Source organism: Homo sapiens, chromosome 2 (assembly GCF_000001405.40).
Source record: "Homo sapiens chromosome 2, GRCh38.p14 Primary Assembly".
NCBI lineage: Eukaryota > Metazoa > Chordata > Mammalia > Primates > Hominidae > Homo > Homo sapiens.
The window spans coordinates 87,649,535-87,673,911 of record NC_000002.12 but is presented as its reverse complement, the minus strand read 5'-3'; the positions used below and the strand labels follow the sequence as shown (position 1 = coordinate 87,673,911).

Here is a 24,377-nt window from a genome sequence, read left to right as displayed (position 1 = left end):
CTTCCACATGTATTACTTTGTTTGATTCTCATTCCTTTTCTGATTTGTGGATGTAAAAATTATCTAAAAGACGATAAAAGAATTACCCACGATAGTTATTGCACAAGGAGGGAGAGGGACACGCAACCCCATGCTCTCCCCGCTACAGTGTTAACCTTCAGGATGACACCACCCTCGACACTCACTTCATGATGGCCTGCACATCTGACCTTGTGCAGGAGCCTGCAGCGTGGGATTGAGCAGCCTCCTGCTCCAGCCAGCTGACTGCCCCTCAGAGGGGACTGAGGTGACAAAACAGGATCCCATCATTTGGTAAACAGGACTCAAGCATGAAGTCTGAGGGGTGTGGGGAGGTGCAGGGTGGGTAGCAAATGGCTGTGAAAAGCAAGAGACTTTCCACGGGCAAAGCTAAGTCTAGATGTACCCAGATTAGCGACTTTTCCTTAAAAGGTTTTTCCAGCCAGGAGCAAGGGACTGGGTGAATCATCCCTAAGACGGGTGACAGGAGGCAGGAATAAAGCATGAATAAAGCATCAGGAAGGGACTAGGATTTAAAACTGGCCCCTCAATGCTTCTACACTGCTGGTGAGAATGTAAGTTAGTTCAGCCACTGTGGAAAGCTGTCTGGAGAGTTCTCAAATAACTTAAACTAGAACTACCATTTGACCTAGCAATCCCATTTACTGGGTATATGCCCAAAGGAATACAAAATATTCTACCATAAAGACACACACAGGCATATATTCATCACAGCACTGTTTACAATAGCAAAGACCTAGATGCCCATCGATGGTGGATTGCATAAAGAAAATGTGGTGCATATACAACATGGAATACTGTGCAGCCACAGAAACGAATGAAATCATGTCCATTACAGCAACATGGATAGAGCTGGAGGCCATTACCCTAAACAAATTAACGCAGGAACAGAAAACTAAATACTGCATGTTCTTACTTATAAGTGGGGGCTCAACATTGAGTAGACATGGACATAAAGATGGGAGCAGAGGACACTGGGGACTCCTGGTGGGGGAGGATGGGAGGAGGGTGAAGACAGAAAAACTACCTATTGGGTATTACGCTGATTACCTGGGTGACAAAATTATTTGTATACCAAAACCCCATGATATGCAATTTACTCATGTAACAAACCTGCACACCTACCCCTTGAACCTAAAATAAAAGTTGGAAATAAAAAAAAAACTGGCTCCTCTATCTGGGCTCCTCTCCCTTCTTAAGTCCTAGGAGAGTTGGCCAACGAGGCCCTGAGTCCAGACACGCCCCACCTTGGCCCAGTGTCCACCTGCACCTGCTCACATTCCCACGTGCCACCATTCCTTGATGCAGCTCACTCTCTAGACCAGTGGCTCCCAGCCACTGGGGTGCATGAGAGTTTCCTGAGGAGCCGAGGTACATGTGTGCTCAAGTCAGCATCCAGACCCACTGGGTCCAGTCTCCAGGCTGGCCCAGTTTGAGAGGTGGGTTTAGAGAGTTTCTCTGCAATAGCACTGGGAATACCTACTGCTGATGGAGCACCTAGATGGATGCTCAGACTCAGAGGTGACTCGGAGGGCTTCACAAACATAATCATAAAGATCCTTTGAACACTGAGGCTCATGAAGGTCAAGTCACTCTCCCAAAGTCACTCAGCTGAGAATAGCACTAGGATGAGAACCCCTTATTTTATTTTAGTTTTTGAGACGGAGTCTCGTTCTGTCATCCAGGCTGGAGTGCAGTGGCATGATCGGCTCACTGCAACCTCCACCTCCCGAGTTCAAGCAATTCTCCTGCCTCAGCCTCCCGAGTAGCTGGGATTACAGGCACGTGCCACCATGCCTGGCTACTTTTTTGTATTTTTAGTAGAGACGGGGTTTCACTATGTTGGCCAGGCTGGTCTCGAACTCCTGACCTCGTGATCCACCCGCCTTGGCCTCCCAAAGTGCTGGGATTACAGGTGCATGCCACCATGCCCGGCTACTTTTTTGTATTTTTAGTAGAGATGGGGTTTCACCATGCTGGCCAGGTTGGTCTCGAACTCCTGACCTCGTGATCGGCCCACCTCAGCCTCCCAAAGTGCTAGGATTACAGGCATGAGCCACCGTGCCAGGCAAGAACCCCTTACTGACCCCTTAGACCTTCTCTCAACCATCACACCAGCTTGCCATGGAGCCCAGGCTTAATTTACCTTGGTATCCCAGCACCCCCAAGCCCAGAGAAGCACGGGGCTTGGTATATGGTGGGTGTTTGCTATAGACCAAATGTTTGTCTTCAAGTTCATGTGTTGAAGCCTGATCCCCAGTGGGATGATACCTGGAGGTGGGACCTTTGGGAGGTGCTCGGGTCATGACAGTGGAGCCCTCACAAATAAGATTAGTACTATCATAAAAGAGACACTAAAGAGCTGCCTTGCCCCTTCCTTCAGGTGAGGACACAGCGAGGAGTAGGCTGTCTATGAACCAGGAAGTGGGCCCTCACCAGACACAGAATCTGCCAGCACCTCAATTTGGACTTCCCAGACTCCAGAACTGCAAGAAATTAATTTCTATTGCTCACAAGCCACCCAGTCTATGGTATTCTGTTACAGCAGCTGGAGCAAACTGAGACAGTACTTGACAGTGATTTTCATGAAGGTTCTCCCTTGCTCATTTTTAAGCCCACTGGTTCAGACAGAAGCCTCTGGGAGAGCCCTCCAGAGTCCACCTTGAAGGCTTCATTCCTTCTACCCAGAGCATCTCCGTGGAGAGGAAGAAAAAGCATCAACGAAATGAGGTGCCCCAGCGGTTCTGGGGAGCAATTCCTCTCTTCATATGACCATTTGGGAAACCCCCAGTGAGATGGAGTGTGCTTTTAAGCCATGAAAACCATGCACATCAGCCCCACCACAGAGGTGAGCAGAAATGTAGAATATGGTGTCTCTTTCTCCTCCTTTTATTTTCAGAGAAATAATTAGGGATTCTGTGGTAGGCAGCCTCTAAGATGGGCCCCAGTGACCCCCACTCTCCCTGTATCCTCACCCTCATGTCATCCTTTCCCTGTCGGTGTGGATCATTCTAAGTAACTTGCTTCTATGACTAGAATAGGGCAGAAGTAATGAGATGTCACATCTTCATAGGTTATAAAAAGCACTGTGGCTTCCATTTTGGGTCCTCTGTCCTACTCTCTCTAGAGTCACACGACCCCAGGGTAACCAGCCACATGTCACAAGGCAGCCTGTGGAGATGCCTAGGTGGGGAGGGACAGAACCACATGAGTGAGCTTGGAAACAGATGCCCCCATGCCAGTCAACCTTCAGATAAGACCAAAGCCTCAGGTGACAGCTTGACTGCAGCCTCATGAGCAGCCTTGAGTTACAAGCATTCAGCTAAGCCGTGTCCATATTCCTGACTCACAGAAAGTGTGAGATAACACACATTTGTTTTAAGCTGCCACGTTTTAGGGTGACATGTTACACAGCAATAGATAACTAATACAGCTTCTTAGCCTGGCAAGAAGCAGGAAGAGTTAAGGAATTAAGACAGGGTGATTCTGGTGAAGATGAGAAAGATGCAGATGTCATGGGTGAATGTCTAATACCTGAGAAATTCAGAAAAGGATTTCTAGGGCAACGCAGAGTTAGAGCAGAGAAACTGAAGGCCAGGCCAGGCATGGTGTCTCATGCCTGTATTCCCAGTGCTTTGGGAGGCTGAGGCAGGAGGATCATTTTAGGCCAGGAGTTCGAGGTTACAGTGAGCTATGATCACAGCACTGTACTTCAGCCTGGAAACAAAGAAGGCCACTTCTTTGTTTCCAGACTCAAAGCAATTTATTAATACCAACTGCTTTGTCCTCTGACATTCCTGTGATTCCCGCTGAGTCACACCTCTGTATTCACGGTGTTTCAGAAATTCCCCAGAATTTACACTGGCAGAGGTGAGGGCAGAGTGAGGGCCTCATTGCTCTGGACGTTGGCGGGGCTGTCCCTCTTGGGTTTATCTGATGTCCACCTTTTAATCAATAATGACTAGCCTATGACAGGGACAAGGCTCAGGTCTAATGTCTGGGCTTATTGGAAGGCTCCTGTTCCTTTTGTTGTCTCTTCCTTCCTCATTCCCAGAGCTGCTCTGAATGCAGTGGGGCACCCGCCTTATCCAGATGTGCTGCTCACAAAATGGACAGAATTCACTGCTCTCTCTGTGCTTTACAACAAAAAATGTTGATAAGTTGCTGTTGGGACCCCTTAAATACACTTCGGGTGAGCAGCGGTTTCCCCTGCCCATCCCAGGCTGGATGGAAGTCATCCCTGCAGAGGGTAAAGCTCAGCCTCAGGGGTCAATCTGGATTTCTGTGGGGGCATCTGAGGAGGCTATCAGGTTCCCCAAATGTGAATTGAGTCCTGGTTCACATCTTGGGTGCTTCACGTCGTCCCCTTCTCACCGAAGGGGAGAGACAGCTGGCTGTGGCTGGCTTCATGTCCTAATTCAACAAAAACAACGCACCTAAGAAAATGCATCTAAATACTTCACAACATTTCCTCCTCTATCTGCAGAGGTTGGAGATGAGCATAGACATTACTGATTTTTGACCCTATCAAGTGACGCCTGCTTGAGGCACCCTGCAGTACCTGCCAGTGCCTTCAGACCTGGAGCCCCCATGGAAAATTTCTGTCTTATTTCCTGCTACCACCACGATCCTTTTCTTACTTCTCAAACCCATCTAAGCCATATTGATAATATTTTGTACCATCAAATACTTTTTGTAGAAAAGCACTTTTTATAAACAAAGCACAACTAAACTCAGGGCAAGAGATGGCTGAACTCATCACCTGATAACCCTTCTTTTCCACCTCCTGCCTCCTCCTGCCTCTACCATGTTGCCTTTTCCACCTCTGTGGCTCATGACCACACAGGATGCCAGGCGAGGTCAAATACAAGGTTGCTAGGAAAAATCAGACAAGAAAATTAAGCAATGGCCAATTCTTGCCAGAAAACACTGTGATACCCCTTTGGGTTTTCATTGCAGGGGTCTTGAGGGCCACCCACACAGGTGACTTAAATCTTTCACTCTCTTATCAGTCTCTTGGGAGAGAATGTGGATCCACTGGAGTGGATGTAGGCCAACCCTCTTCTAGAGAAAAGTACAGCCACACTGGATGGTCATTATCATGGTCCCCAAAGCCTCCATAGCTGGTCTCCCTGCACCGATCGTGTGTTTTACACCCGGTCTCCACCACTCAATGTACCACATAGGGGTTCATTGCATCTGTCACCCCCTGTGTTTTGTCCTTCCTTGTCATCCTGGGGCTCCTGTGGTGCTGGTTGGTGTAGATTGTCACTAGCAAGCAAGAAGGCCCCCCCACCCTACTTCTGTCCTGGGGTCACAGCCTGGCTGGCATTTAGGGCACTTAACTCTTCCAATGAATCATATTCTCCACTCCTGCACATAACTTCCTAGCATGTCTCAGGAGACATGCTGAACTCTCAGTAAACTGCTTTCGGAGAATTATTTAAACACATGAATAAGGATAGAGAGAAATATAACAAATGTCATACGCCCACATGGCTTTATCAGATCTTAATATTTTGCCATATTTGTTTCAAGCCTTTAGAAAAAAACACATAAAACATTACAGACACAGATGAAGGCCTCCTTGATCTCATTCCCTTTCCCTACTCCTCAGAGATGCCACAACCTTAAATTTACTGTGTATTAATCTCAAGCCTGTTTTTTAGATTTTCCTACAGTATTCATTCCTAAGTAATATAAAGTATTGGTTTGTAAGTTTTCCATTTTATGGAAATCTGTCCTGTTGTATCTATCTTCCTGAAACTCATGATTGTTTTTAGATTTATCCATGCAGATACCTGTTGCTCTAACTCCTTTAACTGCTGTATAATACTCAGTCATATGAACCTTATCAGAATTAATTTGTCTATTTTCTGCTGATTGTTTTTCAGTTCCTTTTCAATTTTTCACTACAGATAATGATGCAGTGAATATTTGTGCACATGTGTGAGAGGTTCTCCAGTCTGGATCCATGCTCTACATCCTCACCAGCCCAGTATGAGTTTCTTATGTTTGCCTTTTGTGTCAACACTTGGTAGTGGCAGACAAATGTTTTGGCCAGTCTGATGTGTTGGAGGTTCTGTAGTTGATTTTGAGTGTCAACTTGGCCGGAATGTTTCTGTGAGGGTGTTTCTGATGGGGATTTACATTGAAATTGGTGGGCTTTCAGTAAAGCAGATTGCCTTCCAGAGCCTGGGCAGGCTTCGTCCAGTCAGTTGAAGGCCTGAATAGAGTAAAAGGCTGAGCTCCCTGAACAAGAGGAAATTCTCCAGCAAACTGTTCTTGGGACTTCACCTGCAACATCAGCTCTTCCTGGGGTCTTCAGCCTGATGGCCTTTTGACTTGAGCTGTAGCATTGTCTTCTCTCCGGGTCTCCAGCCTGCCAGCCCAGCATGCAGATTTTGGACTTACCAGCTTCCATAATCATGGAAGAGATATTAACTTTCATAATCATGGAAGTTAATTTCTTAAAACAAATCTCTTTCTATATACATGTAAATCCTATTTGTTTTATTTCACTGGAGAACCCTAATACACAGGTGGCATACTTTTTTGTTTGCTTATTTCTCTGATTACTAAGAGGTAATCATCTAGTCAAATGCTCATTTGCCCTTTGAGCTGCCTTCATCCATAACTTGTTCATGTCTTTTGGTCATTTTTTCCATTGACTTGCCAGTGTTCATGTATTCTGGATTCTGGCCTTTGTCAATTATATGACTGCATTGCAAATACTGGTTTCTGGCTTGACATTTAACATTTTTTATGAATAATTTAAAAATTTTAAAATACAATCCTGCTTACTAAACCAAATAGTCTGTTAATTTTTGCATTAAGGGTCTTTTTGTATATAGTTTAAGAAAATAATTTCTTACTCTGAGTTCATAAAGATAGTCTTCTACATCTTCTTCTAAATTATTTGAAGTTGTTGCTTTTTACACTTAGGTATGTAATCAACCAAGGATTTGTTTTTACATGTGCGTTGATATAAGGATCTAATTTTATTATTCTTGTATGGATAACCTATTTTTCCTAAGTTATTTCTTGAACGAGCCCACCCCTTCTTTTTACTAATCTGTAATGACTCTTCCGTTATATATGAAATTTCCACAGATGCATAGGTCAGTTTCTGAGTTCTCTAATTTTCTATTGATCTATTCACTATCTATATATCGATATTGTACTATGTTAAGTATTATAAATGTATAATTAGTCTTGATGATTATCAGCTTGTCAAATTTCACACACAAAAAAATCCCCTTCAAGATTTTGGATAGAATTGTAGTGAATTTAAAGAATAATTAGGAGATGATATTGACATCTTTCCTTCCTTTTTTTTTTTTTTTTTTTTGAGATGGAGTCTCACACTGTCACCCAGGCTGGAGTGCAATGGCGCAATCTTGGCTCACTGCAAACTCCGCCTCCCAGGTTCAAGCGATTCTCCTGCCTCAGCCTCCCGAGTAGCTGGGATTACAGGTGCCCGCCACCAAGCCAAGCTAATTTTTTTATTTTTAATAGAGACGGGGTTTCAATATGTTGGCCAGGCTGGTCTTGAACTCCTGATCTTGTGATCCGCCTGCCTCGGCCTCCCAAAGTGCTGGGATTACAGGCGTGAGCCACCGCGCCCGGCCTGACATCTTTCTTAAATCAACACTAGTTTTTCCATTTAAGAATGTGGTGAATCACTCCACTCACTAATATTTTCTTTCATGTCCCTCAGGTGTATTTCCAAGTTTCCTCTAAAACCAGCCAAATGAACCAAGAAAAATCAAAACCAAGCAACGTGCACATATTTTGTTTAATGTATGCAGAAAGATCTTATAGCTTTAGTTGAAATATAAGACTCATTCTCCTGTTATATTTTCTAATTGGTTATAATTAATACATATAAATTGTACCCAATTTTGTGTATATATATTCGTTGGACTGTATTTTCATTTGAATAGTTTATTAGAAAATTCTCTTGAATTTTCTATATAGATTATCATATTTCCTGCAGATAAAAATATTCTTGCTTCATTCTAAATTCTTATACTCCTATTTCTTTTGCTTGTTTCATTGCCCTCAGTACGGCTTCCAGGATACTGATGAATAGACATATTGACAATGGACATCCTTGTCTTGTTACTGATATTGATGGGCATGCTTCCAAAGTTTCACCATTAATTATAATGTTTACTATACACTTTTGATAGATAACCTTTATCACATTAAGGAAGTTCCTTACAATTGCTATTTTGAGCACTCAGCTCGCTTAAACCTCTCATGATTTTGAAATAAATTCATGTCAGACTATAAATTTACCTCTAGATATTCTTTCTTTTTTCAACAAGGTCTCACTCTGTGGCCCAGGCTGGAGTGTAATGGCATGATAATGGCTCACTGCAACCTCCACCTCCTGGGATCAAGCAGTCCTCCCAACTCAGTCTCCCAAGTAGCTGGGACCACAGGCACCCACCACCACACCTGGCTAATTTTTTGTAGAAACAGGGTTTTGCATTGTTGCCCAGGCTGGTCTCAAACTCCTCAAATTTCTGTTGTAATTTCTTCTTCAGCCTATTAGTTACTAGGGAGTGAATTTTTTAGTTCCCACATATATGAGTTTGAGACTGTATTTTAGTATTGACTTCTAATTTAATTGGGTTGTGTTTAGAGAATATGATCTGTGTTATTTGATGATTCTAGATATTTGTTGAGTTCTTTGTGACCTAGTATGTGGTCAAATTTTTAAATAATCTGTATATCACCAACTGTTTTTAAATGATCTATGATGACCATTTATGTTTGGCCGCAAAGTTTTACACACACACACCCATTAGATAATGCTTGTTACTTTTGTTTTTCAAATCTTTTATAACCTAGTACTTTTTAAATTGCTTGATTTATCAACTTTTGATCAAGTTAAATGGGTTGTAATCTTAGACTTGTAGTTCTGTCAATTTGCTTACTATATTTTGAGGTGCGTGTATGTTAGACACATACATATACATTTGGGCCTGTGACAGCTTCTGAGTCGGTTGGTGCCTTGATTATTATATAGTCTCTCTCCTATTATAATCTGTCTGCTATTGCTAGCATTTAAATAGTGTATATTTTTCCATTCCTTTATTTTCAGCCTGTGTGATTTCATCTTAGATGGTATCTTGGAAGCAAGACCTACCTGGACTTTTTAGAAATCTAATCTAATCATTTTCTGTCTTGGAGTAGGTAAGTTCCCATTTGCTGTCATTACAGACATACTTCAATTTGTTATTATTTTGCTACCATGTGTTTTGGGTTTTGGGGGGGTGGGGTTTGGGTTTTTTTGAGACAGAGTCTTGCTCTGTCACCCAGGCTGGAATGCAGTGGTGCAATCTCAGCTCACTGCAACCTCCACCTCCCGGGTTTAAGTGATTGTCTGGGCTCAGCCTCCCTAGTAGCTGGGATTACAAGTGCCCACCACCACGCCCAGCTAATTTTTGTATTTTTAGTAGAGATAGGGTTTCTTCATGTTGGCCAGACTGGTCTCGAACTCCTGACCTCAGATGAACTGCCTGCCTCAGCCTCCCAAAGTGCTGGGATTACGGGTGTGAGCCACCACACCTGGACGTGTTTTGTTCTTAAATTCTCTTTTTTCATCTTTCCTGCCTTTTTCTATTATTCTGTGACCTAATGAGTAATGGAGGGAGCCCCATGAAGAGTGGAGTCTGCCTTCAGGAGCAGACTCTGCCTGGCATCCCAGAGGAGTCTGTGTCTTGAAGCAGTCAGTGCTCCCAGGGCTGAGCCGCTGGCCCTGAACAACCATTCCTTGAATAAAGAAATAAAGAGTGAGGCTAACTCAAGACCCATCCTGGCTCCATAACTCTATTTCCAAAGTCTTTTTTTTTTTTTTTTTTTTTTTTTGCTTAACATTGCAGGGCACCTGCTCTATGCTCACTGCTGGGATCACACAGGGGAATGAGTAGAGCTCTCCCTGGCCTCAGACACCCCCACTTAGTGAGAAGGTTACCTGTGGGGACAACTCCCTTGCCAGGTGATAATAGCTATGATGGAAGCACCCACAGAATGTTTGAAAAGATTTGGCAAAAGTGGGGCCACAGTGTTGCCTTTGGCAACAGCTAGGTGAAGCTGATCAGCAGCCATCCCTTTGGGTAGGTCCATGCTCCATTTCTCCACTGTCCTCACCAAGGCCAGACTAGGTCAGGCAAACAAGGCCCAAGAAGCCAACTTTAAGGAGGCACTCATCTCCCAGTGCTAGCCTTGTACTTGCAAAGCCCCAAGAGTGAGTGCTTCCTTAAAACATGCATCCTGGGCACCTTCCTAGCCTTGCCCTAGCCCTAGTCCTGACCCTGGTCTCCAACACTCCCTACTGCCTCCCCAACAGTGAGGCCATGTATAAATGGTCACATCCTGCTTGCTCTGTTGTTTGTCTACTGCTAGAGTTAAGAGGAATGTGAATTTTCTGGTATGCTTGTCTCCATCAAAACTGAGTAAACAAAATATAAACCAAAAAGAGTCCTGGACTTCACCTGCCTGATTCACCTATTACATTCCCCATGGTCTTGAGTTTGAGAACCTGAGGTTCTCAGCCTGATTGCAAGGTCCTTGAGTGCCAAGGGCAAATGTCCCATAGTAGGAACTTTAGTCAGAGGAGCAATGGGAACAAATGTCTTTTAGAAAAATAACCCTTGCTTTGGTGGTCTGAGAGCTGATGTGGACTGAGAAATTGAGAGTCTCCTGCAAAGGTGAGGGCATAGAGAGGGGAGGGTGAGGGCAGCTGTGCTCACTGCAGGAGTCAAAACAAGGTTGGATGAGGTAGGACTTAAGAATTACTAGATGGCTCTATCAAGACTTCCTGGTCAGTGGTGAGGCTTTAAACAAGAAAGGAGTACGGAAGAAAGTGGACATTTGCTTTGGGTAAGCTGAGTTTGAAGTCAGGACATCAGAGTATACCGGAATCACAAGGACCATTGCTGAGAGGACTCCCACCACCATACAGACCCCTCCCTCTACTCTGGGCTCTCTCCAGGGCAGGAGTCCCACATGGCTTCTCAAGTGTGCCTCTGCTGGAGCCCAGCATAAAATATCCCCCAGCCGGGCAGCCAGGTTAACTTATTGTTAGCAGGCTGAAAAGGAGGCTGTTATTTCACAGCAGAGATAAAAGTTAATCACAGATTAGGACTGCCCAGAAAATATTGATGACTTCATCCACCTGAGTACTAGCCTGGGGGAAGTGTTCACCACTCCTTAGTTGTCAGACCAGTCCAGCCAGTTCCCTGACTCCCTCTTTAAAATGCAGGCCCAGGCTTTAACAAAAGCCTGGACCCATGAATAGACAGCATTCATACGCGGGTTCTGAGTCATTCTGCAGACCTACTGCGTGCCCTGCCTTCTAGACTTCTGATTGGAGAAGGTCTCCGCTTACCTTCCGCCCTGCCTTGCCACCGGAACCTCCCTCCCACCCTCCCTCTCTCATTAGAACTTTTATCTGGCGGCACCATCACCCTGGGAGACTCCAAAACAGAAAACCAGACAGACAGTGGTTACAAAATAAAAGACCTGTGTTTGCAGGTAAGGGGATTTCTCCATTCTGACCATCCAGATTGCGGACTAGAGAATCTATCTCTTTGGGTAAGATGAAAATGGATGAAATTCAAGCTGTGTTTGAAATAAAGATTTCATAAGTTATTATTGTTGGTTCCAAAGTATTAGGCAAAAACTACAGGGGTACCTGGGGAGCCCACAGAGCAGGACACAGGAAGCAGAAACCTCTCTTAGGATGGTACAGGCAGGGGCACCAACTCTGTCCTCCTGAACTGGAGGATCACCTTCACACATTAAAGTTGTGAGCTCAGCTGGGTAAAATGCACACTACACAGATACCCCTGAAGCATGCGACATTCCCCAACACCCCCAGCTTTGGCTGTAACAGAACTAGTGTGGATGCCAAAACAAGATGCCCCACATGGTTAAAGAATCTGACGACTCTTTTTGTAGAGGAGTAGTCGACTATGTCATTGTTATTCCCAAAGATGGAAGGCAGAATCATCAGAAATTACAGTGACAGGGGTTCCTGCTCGGTAGTATGCCGAAAAGGTAAGGTCCAAACCCTCAGTCTCGCTTTCAAGGCCCTCCATGACCCGCAACTCCCCTCCTCCTCCTCCTTTTCTTTTCTAAGCTTTTTCTTATTATTGCCCTGCCCAGGGCCTGCACCCACCAACTGTTCCTAGTATCATTGGTTGGTGATACCACGAACGATGAACCATGGGGCTGGCCTTCTCTCCAGCTCAGAACACACTTGCTTTAGCTCAAGCCTGTCCAACCCAAGCCCGCAGGATGCATGTGGCCCAGGACAGCTTTGAATGTGGGCCAACGTAAATTCATAAATTTTCTTAAAGCATTATGAGACTTTTTGCTATTATTTTTGTTGTTCTTCATCAGCTAACATTAGTGTTAGTGTATTTTACGTGTGGCTCAAGACACTTCTTCTTCCAATGTGGCCCAGTGAAACCAAAAGGTTGGACATCCCTGCAGTCTTTATGATCGTCTAAATGTCCACTTCCTTCAGGCCCCAATGTGTCCCAGCTCCTCTAAGAAGCCTTCCTTGGGTTCCCACTCTCTTGGAACTTTTCTCTTCTGACCCCTCCCCTAGCCTACATTGGTCCCCCACTCACTCATCCTCTGGGCCAGTCATTTGGCACACAGTACACGTTGTGTTTCTGTGGAAGCCCTATGGGGAGAGAATGGGTTGTGGGGGCCAGGATCTGGAAGCTTCCAGTGGATGAAGAGGATGTCAGTGCTACTACCAGGTAGGAAGGCTCCGGTTTACTAAGAACCAAAGAGGTGGTGTTCCAGGGGTCAAGGAGAGAGAGAGCCCAGAGTGTACAGGCCACTCAGAACATGCAGGGGAAGAGCAGGATTTGATTCAGGAGCCGGTGGGACCCCAGGAGAAGACAGGGAGACTAAACTGTCACCCTCCACCACAGGGAGTTGAAAGGCACAAGTGCGGACAAGAGGATCAATCAAAGCTCCGTTCTGTTCCCAATCCTTCCAGTCCCGATGCTCCAGAGAGCAGGGGAGGCACCTGTACACAGGTACTGGGCATGACTGATGAGGCAGTGCCCAGGAGCCCAACTTCCTCGAAGCGAGAGAAAGGACAGAGATGCTAAGATCTGCACACTTCCACATTTTAGAGAATTTGGGAGACCCATGTTGGATGTGGACCGTGGTTCTTATTGGTATTATTTTCTGAGTGGTAGATGTGCTTAATCCCAGCACCTGCCTAAACTGATGACAACAGCGGCTTTCCTACTGGAAGGACATTGCCACTTGATAGCATATGCTGTACCTCGCTTGCATGTCCCTGCTTCCAAGCTTTGGGGATTTCTAGGATTGTTTTCTCCTAGTTTCCTTGTGTCACGTGGGCTCCTTTATAAAATATCCCCATATAATAGTGCATGATGTGCTCTATTACAAAACACAAATGTGTCTGTCCAAGACAGCCTGGGGGCAGCGAGCTGGGGCGTGGCAAGGAGACCAACTGGAATGACGGGAGAGCCCTAGTGGATGCACAGTGCACCGCTCTTACACCACAAGCCTCCCGCCCCAGCATGATTTAACCCGTGAAGAAAGCAGAGCATTTAATATGTTCTACAGATGTTTTAAAAAAGGAATAACGGCGCTTGTCCCAAGTGTGGGATGGAGGCACACACTCTTCTGAGATGTGAAGCAAATTTCATATCTCAAAAGAGAAAAAGGACAACAGTTCCTGCTCAGTCACCAAGTCTGATTCTCAACCCTGGAACGCCTCAGCCTGCCTGAGCCCAGAAATGAGGCTCCTTGTGAACACTATGGAAATGCAATGGCTGTTTTGATTTTCCATAATGGACAGCACACTGGTCCAGGAGGCATATCCAATCTAAATGAACTAGCATCTGTGAAACTTCCTAGCACAGTCCCAGCACATCGCAGGAGCTGAACTAATGTTCTTTTCCCTTCCCAAGGAACCCTGAAGCCTTTGAAGGAACCGTGATTGGGAAGGCATCAGCATTTGCTTTTCGCTGGTATAAATTTGGACCACTGGTCTGCCCGGGGTGTCCCCTGCCAGTGGTCGTGGACTGCTAGGGAAGCACAGCACACCCCCCAACACCCCCCCGCAAGGAAGACCCCTCATTGCCCACCAATGTCCTCTTTCTGGCGTCCCTCACGTTCCTGGCCGAGACCCTCCGTTCAGTCACGCCATGAGGTCAGGGCCACGGTTGCCATTGTCTGCTGGAAGCCAGTGCAGCACTTGGAGCTTAGAAGATGCACACAACTCTTTGTTAAAGAACAAAGAAATGGGAGAAACTTTTTAAAAGAAAATAAACAGAGAGAAAGAGGGTGAGACGAAGACTGTGGCTGAGGCTTTGTTTTCAGGCCGAAAGCAGGACACTCAGCTCATTCTCAATGAAACTTCAACATCGATAATTCAAATGTCTTAGAAATTGTACATTGGAAGGGGAAATAAAATGATTTTTCAGCTCTTTTAGGCTTACAGATACCTAAATGAAGCATAGATTGTAGAATGTTGTTCAGAAGGGAATTAAATTTGGATTTCATCCTTCCCAGGGACTGGGGGCACTGCTTGTCACTTTGACTCAAATGGAGAGTCCCTGCCACTGCTTGCTTGCCTTCATCTGACCACACTGTGCTAAGCGCCCAGCCCCAGGGTATAGCTGAGCCCTGCACCAGCTGCAGTGAACCGCTTGGCCGGGTGCCCTCTTAGATCCTCCCTGCCCTGTTCCCTGGCTCTCTGTCCCCTGCGGTCCTCTTCTCTAGGACTGTTGAAACTTCTCCGCATCTGGTCAGCTTCACACAAAAGGGCTCCTATTTTACAGGCTGAGAGCCCCTTCCTGTGTGTTGTCAAAACTGACACATCGCATTGCTTAGGTTTAATCTTCAGGTACTTTTTCTGTTTTTTTACCTATAAAATTAATATAAGCATATGCTCCCGTAATCAACACAATTTAGATAAAGCAAGAGTTCCTCTGGGCCCTCCCACTTCCATTTGCATTTTCTTTTCTGTGGACTAACTGGTCATCTTCTTTATCCACTTGTCTATGAGGTTGTTGATCTTGGTCTTTTTTCTTATTAACAGATAGGAATTCTTCATAGAGCCTAGATAACAATCCAGAATTCATGTGTATACGCACGCATTTATCTATATGTATATGTATAAGCACATTACACACATACATTTGCACACATACAAATGTTAGAAATATCTTCTCCAACTCTGTTGCTTGTCTTTTATCTCAGCTTATAGAGGTTTCCGATTTTGAATCAGAAGTTTCACATTTCATTGAAGGTAGACATCACTCTTTCTCTATTTGCTTTTGTGATTTGTGTCTTGCTCAAGGCCTTCCCTGTCCTACCCCCATGTCAAAAGCATGTTCTCCACTATTTTCTTTCAGTCCTTAATCTTTCTTCCGTAGGTAGCCAATGTCCAGCACGTTTGGTAATGACACCTCCTCGGTGAAGCGCAAGGCCACCTTGACCCCAGCTCCCATGGGTCTGTCTTCAGGGGAATTTTGAGGTTGTTTTTGCTGCAGGGTGTCAGGAACTCCTTCCTCTCTGATTCTTGGAAAAGTTTACTGTTTGCTGCTGGCTTTGTGGTCTCTCCTCCCTGTGCAGGTAGGGTGTGGAGGGTAATCAGAGTCAGTCCAGAGGTTGCTCAAAGTTTCAGTTTATCTCCAGCCACTATTTGCTAACTCATCTGAGAATTCTGCCAAGATAAACATCAGACAGACCCTCCTATGGTTCAATCAGTCTGCTCCTGGGAAAATTAGGACATGTGTCTGCCCGGCTCTGCTGGTGTTCCTGAGAGTGACTGGTCTCTGTGTGACCTTTCATTGGCCAGGCTCCCCCAAGGGAAACGTCCACCAGCAGAAAAAGTAGGAAAAAAATCCCTTTATGCAGAGAAAATACACTGCAGAAACAAACATAGTCTAACCCTGCCTTTTAAAACATAGCTTTTAGACTGAAAGAGTTCACCCTTCCTCTCTCCACCTGGTCACTCTTGGGATGACAATTTCAAATCCCACATAACATTCACAGTGTGTTATTCCCATGCAATTACCTTGTTAGGTTTCATACATTTAGAACACGGAGGGGGACAGGGGATGCTTCTCCGCAGTCTCTTCGTTATTGGGACATACTCCAACGCTCAGACAGCTCCACAATGCACCTTTCTCCCACTCTTCATTCCTTTTCTGGCAACACTCTTTCTCTCTCAGAGGATTTTAAAAACATGTCTTGTTACAAAAAGCAAAGAATGACAGTTGCTTCAGAAAAATACCCAACTGAAAGATCCACTCCCTGACCATGGAGAGCTCACTACAGATCTAGAAACGCGAGGCAGAGACTTGAAGATGCTGCACACATCCTGTGTGGGAGTGGGAGAAAAGCTGCTGCTTCCTTAGCATTAAAACAGACAGGGTCATTTCAGCCTTGCAGGGGATGACCAGCCCTCACTGGAATTATGTGATGGCATCACATTTGCTCCTCATGTAAACATTCCAGCGGGAGAACGACTGCTCCCTGAAGACACTCATGGTGTGATAAACAGCAGTCAGTGGAATCAAGGCAGGGGCGAGGTCCTCTTCCTTCTGCCTCCTTCTCACCATGGCACCTTGAGAGAGGCCCTTTGTCCCTCGGGTTTTTCCATTTTCTCATTTGCAAAATGAAGAGGATCCCATCTACACCGTCGTGTTTAGAAATGACACAAGATCACAAAAACCTCTGCCGCCTCGAAGATACAGAATTGCTGGTGAGGCTCGTTGTCTGAGAGCCGGGCTCTGCTCCCCTCGGGGCCAAGTCTACCAATTGTTCTTTGGAAAACAAAAGCTGGAGGCATTAAAACTGGGCTGTTCCAAGTGTTCTTTACGTTTTATAAATTTTATAAGGTGAAACTCAATATTTAGATGATTGGTAGAAACGTCTCTTGGGGGCTTTATGGTTTTCTAACATAGAGTGGGGGGACATGTTACCTCGGCAGGAGCATGTGGGCTGAGAGGAGGGAACCACATCAGGGAGGCCGGTGACTGGAGAGGGAAGTCCTCCTCCTGTGGAGGGCCTGGCCCTCATGGATTCCCCACTTCCAGGCAACTTTGTGACCTCAGAGAAGCTAACCTGATGTGCATGCTACTGACGTTGCCCATGCCGCTCCTGCTGGCTGATGGAACTATCTGTCTGGAGTCTGTGGATGGCAGACCTCCTGATTGTGTGGAGCGTGAGTTTTTCGAAAGAGATCTCTCACTTTCATCCAGGCTGGAGTGTAGTGGCACACACCACCACACCAGGATAATTCTTTTATTTTTTGTAGAGACACGGTCTCACTATGTTGCCCAGGCTGGTCTTGAACTCCTGGGCTCAGGAGGTCCTCCTGCCTCGACCTCCCAAAGTGCTGGGATTACAGGCGTGAGCCACTGTGCCTGGCCTTGGAACATGATTTGTTAAGGTACCTCTGAGGTGAATTAGAAAACCAGTTCAGGAAGTTGGAAAGGAGAAATTCCTAGAATCCTGTGCAACTGCTGGGTTCACTTAGTATTTCCAGTGCCAAGAGGGACCCGAAGTAAAGAGGAGCAGATGACATGGGAGTCTTGCCAAATAGAGAGACAGGGCCAGGGTGCAGGGGAGGTAAGGCTCTGTGCCCAGGTGCGGGGGAGGGAGGAAGCTTCTGGAAGTCCTCTGGGATTGTGGTGCCCATTTCTTTTGCTAAAGCCAGTGTTAACAAGGGTTTCAGTCCCAACCATGCCCCATACCCTGGCTCCCCGATCCTGCCCCAGCCCAAGCTTCCCTGCAGTGGGTTTCACCCCATTTCTTCTCTTGCACTTGCCTCTCCCCTGCTACCCCGTCAATGATATCATCAAAGAAATTAGACCCGGATTGGTCACTGCAGTACATGACTGCATGCAGTACATGGCGAATTCCACTTCACTAGCCCGATAGGGTCATCTCTTGTAGTTGCCTCAGCTGCAAAGTAGGGTTAATAATGCCAGCCTGGCAGACTATGTGATAATACTTAGTAAGAGGACTCAGGTTAAGAACATTCCTAAGGTGCTCTCCAAAGAATCCCAGGGACTGTGAATGAAATGTTAAAATAACCTTTCTCCCTTCCCTGTCCCTGCATCTCATTTATCCTTGAGAGAAGGTCAATGAGGTGTTTCCCTGAGGCCAACTTCCAGGTAACACAAACTTCAAGGGGGTACCTCTAAGCACTTAAATAAATCACGTTATTCTTCTAGCATTTTATGTGACTGTAATTCTAGAACTGTACACATTTCCTGCCTTTAGAAGCAGTGTACAGGGAATTGGAGTGAAGGGTTTTCTTCAGGACTCAGGAGGGCAGGTGACAGGACTCTCCCTGGTGTTGTGGTATGCAAATGAGCCCCCGCCCATCAGTCCTGGGCCCTTCACCATGCAGACCAAGACTGGGCATCATTTTGTGTGAATTCTCTCCCTCTTTTTTTTTTTTTTTCAGTTTACTTGAAGGCAATTTATTAACAGAAAACATTTTGAGGAGTCCTGTTCACAGATGGTGACCATGGCAACCCCCTTCCTGCAGGTGCTTTTGGAGGGGATGGCAGTGACATCCTCAATCCACCTGATCTTCATACCTGAGCGGGCCCCAGGTCCAGGGATCTCAGTCCTATTTCCATCTGTGGCCTGGAGTTTGATGTAGGCCAGTGGTGTCTGGTTCCTTGCACCTCTAGGCCACATCCTGGGTGGCCAGCGTGGCAGCATGTGGAGAGGATTCATCTGGCCACCCTTTACCTTCATCCCACCAGTCACACAGCACATTTTTTTTTTTTTTTTTTGCCAGAAAGATCAGTGACATGGACAAATGTGTCATTGAAGGATGCAAAGATATGGTAGATGCCAAATACATTCTCTCCTTCAGCCACCTGAAGTCCGGGGCTGATGATGTGTTCTTCCTTCTTTTCCTTCCCCTTTCAAGGTGTCATTTCTGTGCATTATCTCCAGACTCTGCACCAAAAAGCCCTGTGAGTTATTAGATCTGCCTTTGAAGTCCCTTTTCTTTCTGTGTCCTGTTGCCGGCTGCCATCTCTGGCTCTCCCTGCCTCCTCTTGGCTCCCTACCCTACCTTAGCTCTCAACTGCTCTTTGAGGAAAACTGAGGGTAGTCAGAATGGCCTTTAATAGGGAGGGGTTGATGAGTTTGCAGCAGCTCAGAGGCTCTCGGTGTCTGAGTCCTGCATTCTTAGCCCTGAGCAAACACAAGCTGTTGCTGTGGGTCTAAATGCCAGATCCAGAGGCCCTGGTTGCATTTGTATAATACACCTCCCACTTTGTGGCTGGGTGTGTCCTCGGATTTATTTTAGAATAGTCATTATCTATTTCCGTGGGGAATTGTGCTACTAGCATGGCCACTTTATTGGAAGATCCAATAAAGAAAGCAGTGGGTGGTCTCTTGAACTTGTGTTATAATATAATCGTATTACAATAGGAGGCAGCATAGTTTAGCGGCTCAAAGCTTAAGCTGCTGCTTGGTCGTGCCATTACTAGCTCTATGCAGTTTTTGTCCTCATTAAATTACTATATGCAAAGAGATGAGCAGAGCAGAGCAGAGGCCTGCATCTCTGCTGAATCCTGTCAAGTCCTCATATGTGGGCCTGGCACAGATTATGGGACTGAGAGGATGCCCACCCCTCCCAGGAGAAGTGGGGAGGTGCATTGCCCCTGGAAAGCAGGGTGAGAGGGGCAGGGAAGGGGTGGAAAGCTGTCAGGACAGGGGGGCCTAGCTTCATGGTGGCTTTGTCACATCCCATATTTAGCCCAAGATGGGGCTATTTTGGAGCCGATTCAGTTCCTGGGGATATTTTTTTCTTTTTATAAGATTCAGAACTACTCTGAGCTAAAACCAATCTTTATCTGTAAAACAGAAATAATAATACTAGCTGCCTAATAGGGCTATTGTGGAAGTTAAATGGAGAAATGTACATCAAAGGCTAAAAACAGGGCCCAGGCAGGACAAGCACTCAACAACAGCTAGCACTCAACAACAAGCACTCAGCAACAGCTAGCATTCAACAACAGCTAGCACTCAACAACAGCTAGCACTCAACAACAATCACTCAACAACAGCTAGCACTCAACAACAAGCACTCAACAACAGCTAGCACTCAACAACAAGCACCCAACAACAGCTAGCACTCAACAACAAGCACTCAACAACAGCTAGCACTCAGCAGCTAGCACTCAACAACAAGCACTCAACAATAGCTAGCACTCAACAACAGCCAGCACTCAACAGCACTACACAGTGTTATATGTTATTGAGTGCTTATCCTGTCCTGGGCACTGTTCTCTGAGGACTCTGTTCTTTGCTATCTTTGACAGCATTTCTTGAATCATTTTTGAAAATTATTTTTGCCTTTCTTTTTTTATGAAATACTGTCCCTATAGCCACCAGACACAGAGCAATGGGATAAGGGTCTTTTTCTTCTGTTTTTAACAGCACAGACTTCTTAGCAAACCTTTCCTGGCCTTTAGAGTGGCCTCAGAAGGACACTGTGTTGCATTCGAGGGTTGTATATCAGGCAGGCCTTTAATACTGGTTGACACTTTTTGGGGTTTCATGGCACTAGAGAGACCACTTTGTGTTCCTCCTGAGGAGTAGACTGAATCAGGCTGTTGGGTGGAGGTGACACTTCTCTGTAGTCCCCTATAATACCCCAAGAACCCATGCATTGTTCCCCCACAGAGGTCTTCACATGGCAATGAGAGGAGGCAAACTCTTGTGAGACCTTGGAAGAAGTATCAATAGTGTTCAACAATCCTGAGTCAAGATGAGAATTCTTTTTAATTTCACAGGAACCCTGAGTTGAAGAAAGCCCTGCTCATCCTGTTAACATGGTGGTGGCTGCTGGGATCAGAGTCAAACAGCATACTGAATAGGCTCTGGCTCTCTTCTGACTCAAAAATCCCAGAGTAGTCTTGGACCAGGTCTGAAGAAGATGCTTTATATGCTGCAGAACAGGATGTATTGGGCTTTTGGATCTTTTCATTAAGAATGTGTAACTATTACCTCACTGTAGGGTGAACCTATGCAACTAAAACTTGAGGCAGGATGCATTCTTCTGTCTCTTAGGACAAACCTCTCCAGAAAGTCTCCTTGGAAGTGAGCCATGGGGCATGGTGTTGTAGTTGGAGAGCCAGCCACGCGGTGAGGGAAGAGAGCGCTGCCATGGTCTGAATGTTTGTGTCCCCCCAGAATTCATATGGAGAAACCTAGCCCCCAGTGAGGGCATTAGGAGGTGGGGGCTCTGGAAGGTGATTAGGTCATAAAGGCAGAGCTGTCGTTAATGGGATCAGTGCCCTTATAAAAGAGGCCCCAGAGAGTTTGTTTGCCCCTTCCACCGTGTAATGATACAGCAAGAAGGCACCATCTATTAACCAGGAAATAGGTTCTCATTAGACACCAAATCTGCCAGTGCCTTGGTCTTGGACTTTCCAGCCTCCAGAACTGGGAGAAATAATTTCTCTTGTTTATAAGTCACCCAGCTTATGGCATTTTGTTACAGGAGCTCAAATGTGTTAAGGCGGTAGCACTTAGAATCAGAGGCTTGGGGGCATGCTCCTTGAAGTTAAACTTGGCTTGTGACTCACTTTGGCCAATGAAACGTGAGTTGCGGTAATGATGTCTCTTCTGGGAATAGACCTTCAAGCCCAAGGCTTGATACACCATGTCCCCTTTCCCCTGCCATAGAGACTGATGGCACTACTTTGGGGGATTCTTCCAACCAACACTCCTAAGTAAAGGTGACAGAGAATAGAACCCTGCTGAGTCAAGATGGCCATATAGCATGCACAAGAGATAAATGTGTGCTGGGCGCAGACATTGAGTTTGGGTTTATTTTTTACCAGAGCATAACCAGCCTGTCCTGGTGGATATAGTTAACAGCCAACAGTATTCCCTAATTGCCACATTTTACACACGGCCAGTGGAGCCTTATAAATTTGAGAGCTAGGAATCTTCCCATTTTACAGATGAGAAAACTGAGACTCTGAGCAGTAACAACTCATACTTGATGCTGAAACTGGAACCTTAACCACCTACCACCACCTGCCAAGCCTGATCTGTAGCAGGCAACCAGCACATTCACACTGAATCTCTCAGACATTCACTCTGGGCTGAGCAGACATTGGCAGACACTGACCCCTTCGTTTGTTTCTGAGGCAAGAAGAGGCATTTCTCATGGGAAAAGGGTTGAGGACAGGAAAGAGGGCTCCTAGGAAACACACCCATCCATCTAAGTCCACAGGAGGCCAAGTCAAAGGTGTAGGGTCACTCTATACCCATTGCTTGGCCCTACTGTGCCTGGAATCCCCCAAGAAGCCACCAGAAACAAAAACTTCTGGGAAAAGAGACAGTGGGAATTTCCTCAGACAGTAATGAGTTATTCTGGATCAAATGCCCACTGGGCCAAGAAGGTGAGTCACCTAGTCAGTTTGGACTGCCATAGTGGAATACCATTGATGGGATGACTTGTAAACAACTGAAAATTACTTCTCACAGTTCTCAAAAGTCCAAGATCAGGTCCCAGCATGGCCGGATTCTGGCAGGGACCCTCTTCCAGGTTGAAGACTTTAACATCTCATTTTCATGCATGGTGGAAAGACAGTGAGAGAGCTCTCTGGGGTCTCTTTCATAAGGGCGCTAATCCCATTCATGAGGGCTCCACCCTCGTGACCTCATCACTTCCCAAAGGCCTCATCTCCTAATATGATCACCTTGGGGGTTAGGATTTCAACATATGAATTTGGCAGGACACAAGCAGTCAGTCCATAACTGTGACACACAGGAGAAAACTGCAGGCCAGCCAGGGAGAGTGGCAAGGAAGGGAACAGGTGCTTCCTCTCCACAGGGCAGCTGCCATTCTGCTGAGCATCTGAAGGTGGGAAGATGGCCAAGTGTTGCCAGAGCATCCCATTTTCCAAGACAAGTTGGAAAATATAGATTTTCTTTTTAACATGAAAGGTCAGCTCCTGATCTTTAAATCTTGATAGGTCATTAAACAACTTAAAATGCATGTGTGCCAAGCAAAACACATTCCAGACTGTAGCCCCCAAGCCTTCAGTCTGTGACCTCTGGAAAGATCTAGCATCATTTTGCTGCTTGAAGGAATGTTACTGGGGGCAGAATCTCCTCATCTAAACAAGGAATATGTCCGGAAATGCTGTCGCCCGCCTGACATGTGGGTGGAGTTGGCTGCCATCTGGATCCGGGTGTTTCAGAACCACCACCTGCTGCGAGGTGTCTGACATTCCATAACTAGGGACTCAGTTCTTGTTTGGGGGCACTGTCTCCTGGTTAAAAATAAATGAACCTTGACTGCCTTCTCAATAACTTTTCCCTTAGAAAAAAGCAGTAAGTATGAAGACAAGACCCTGAAGTTTGGCCAGTGGGTGGGATGGTACAAAGAGGGTTCCCTGGGATGGGGCAGAAGAGGAAGGAAAAAGTAGCTGGGTGTGTGTACCAGGAGGACTTGCCCCAGTTCATGGTTTCCACTCATGGTACCCAATGTTGGCCTCCAACACACAATCCTGAATTCCCAGCAATGGCTGAGAAAGGTGCATGGGCCTTCAGGGAGAGAGACTTCAGCTGGGCTGAGGAAGCTGTTGAGGTAGAGCCTCTCAAACTCAGTTCTGTCAAAGGCATGCAGAATTTCCATCTGTGGCTATTTGTACTAATGATGATGTGCCCTCCACACACTCGTCTGTTCAAACTCTCATTAATTTTAAGCAGGCTGGGAGAAGACAGCCTGTACACACTGAGAGAGTCAATATACAGACAATGTCAAGACCATATAGAAAGACAGGACTCTGACCCACAATCTGTAGCAATCATCCCAGAAGCCAAACAACAGCTCCTATAGCAATCAGCCCCAAAATTCTAGGACTCGATTAATAACTGACCGATTCCTTAGGTTTTTTTGTTTTGTTTTGTTTTTGTTTTGAGATGGAGTCTTGCTCTGTCCCCCAGGCTGGAGTGCAGCAGCATGATCTCAGCTCACTGCAACCTCCGCCTCCCGGGTTCGAGCGATTCTGCCACCTCAGTATCCTGAGTAGCTGGGATTACAGGTGCACACCACCATGCCCAGCTAACTTTTTGTATATTTAGTAGAGACGGGGTTTCAACATGTTGGCCAGGCTGGTCTCAAACTCCTGACCTCAAGTGATCTGCCCACTTCAGCCTCCCAAAGTGCTGGGATTACAGGCATGAGCCACCATGCCCAGCCTGATTCCCTAGGTTTTTGTCCCCACTTCCAACTTAGGACCAATGAAAGAAAGCCAAAC

At 45.9% G+C, this 24,377-nt stretch overlaps 2 long non-coding RNA genes and 1 pseudogene across 6 annotated transcripts in view; 1 reads left to right on the top strand and 2 right to left on the bottom strand.

Moving 5' to 3' along the window:
• LOC101928214 (uncharacterized) overlaps nt 1–16,931 on the top strand; it is a 28,748-nt gene extending 11,817 nt beyond the window's left edge. The window contains exons 3-4 of one of the 5 annotated variants that reach the window (XR_007087128.1): nt 9,155–9,246; nt 13,005–16,931. This is a non-coding gene — a long non-coding RNA (uncharacterized LOC101928214). Of the gene's footprint in view, nt 1–148; nt 7,368–9,154; nt 9,247–9,935; nt 11,475–11,497 lie in introns of those variants that run through there. The other 4 variants (XR_940326.3, XR_007087130.1, XR_007087126.1 and 1 more) reach the window with 4 other exon arrangements.
• The window catches only part of NCAL1 (NK cell activity associated lncRNA 1), a 282,375-nt gene that overhangs the window by 63,942 nt on the left and 194,056 nt on the right, over nt 1–24,377 (bottom strand). The gene's annotated exons all lie outside the window — the stretch shown is intronic.
• On the bottom strand, nt 18,536–19,057 carry RPS14P5 (ribosomal protein S14 pseudogene 5; annotated as a pseudogene).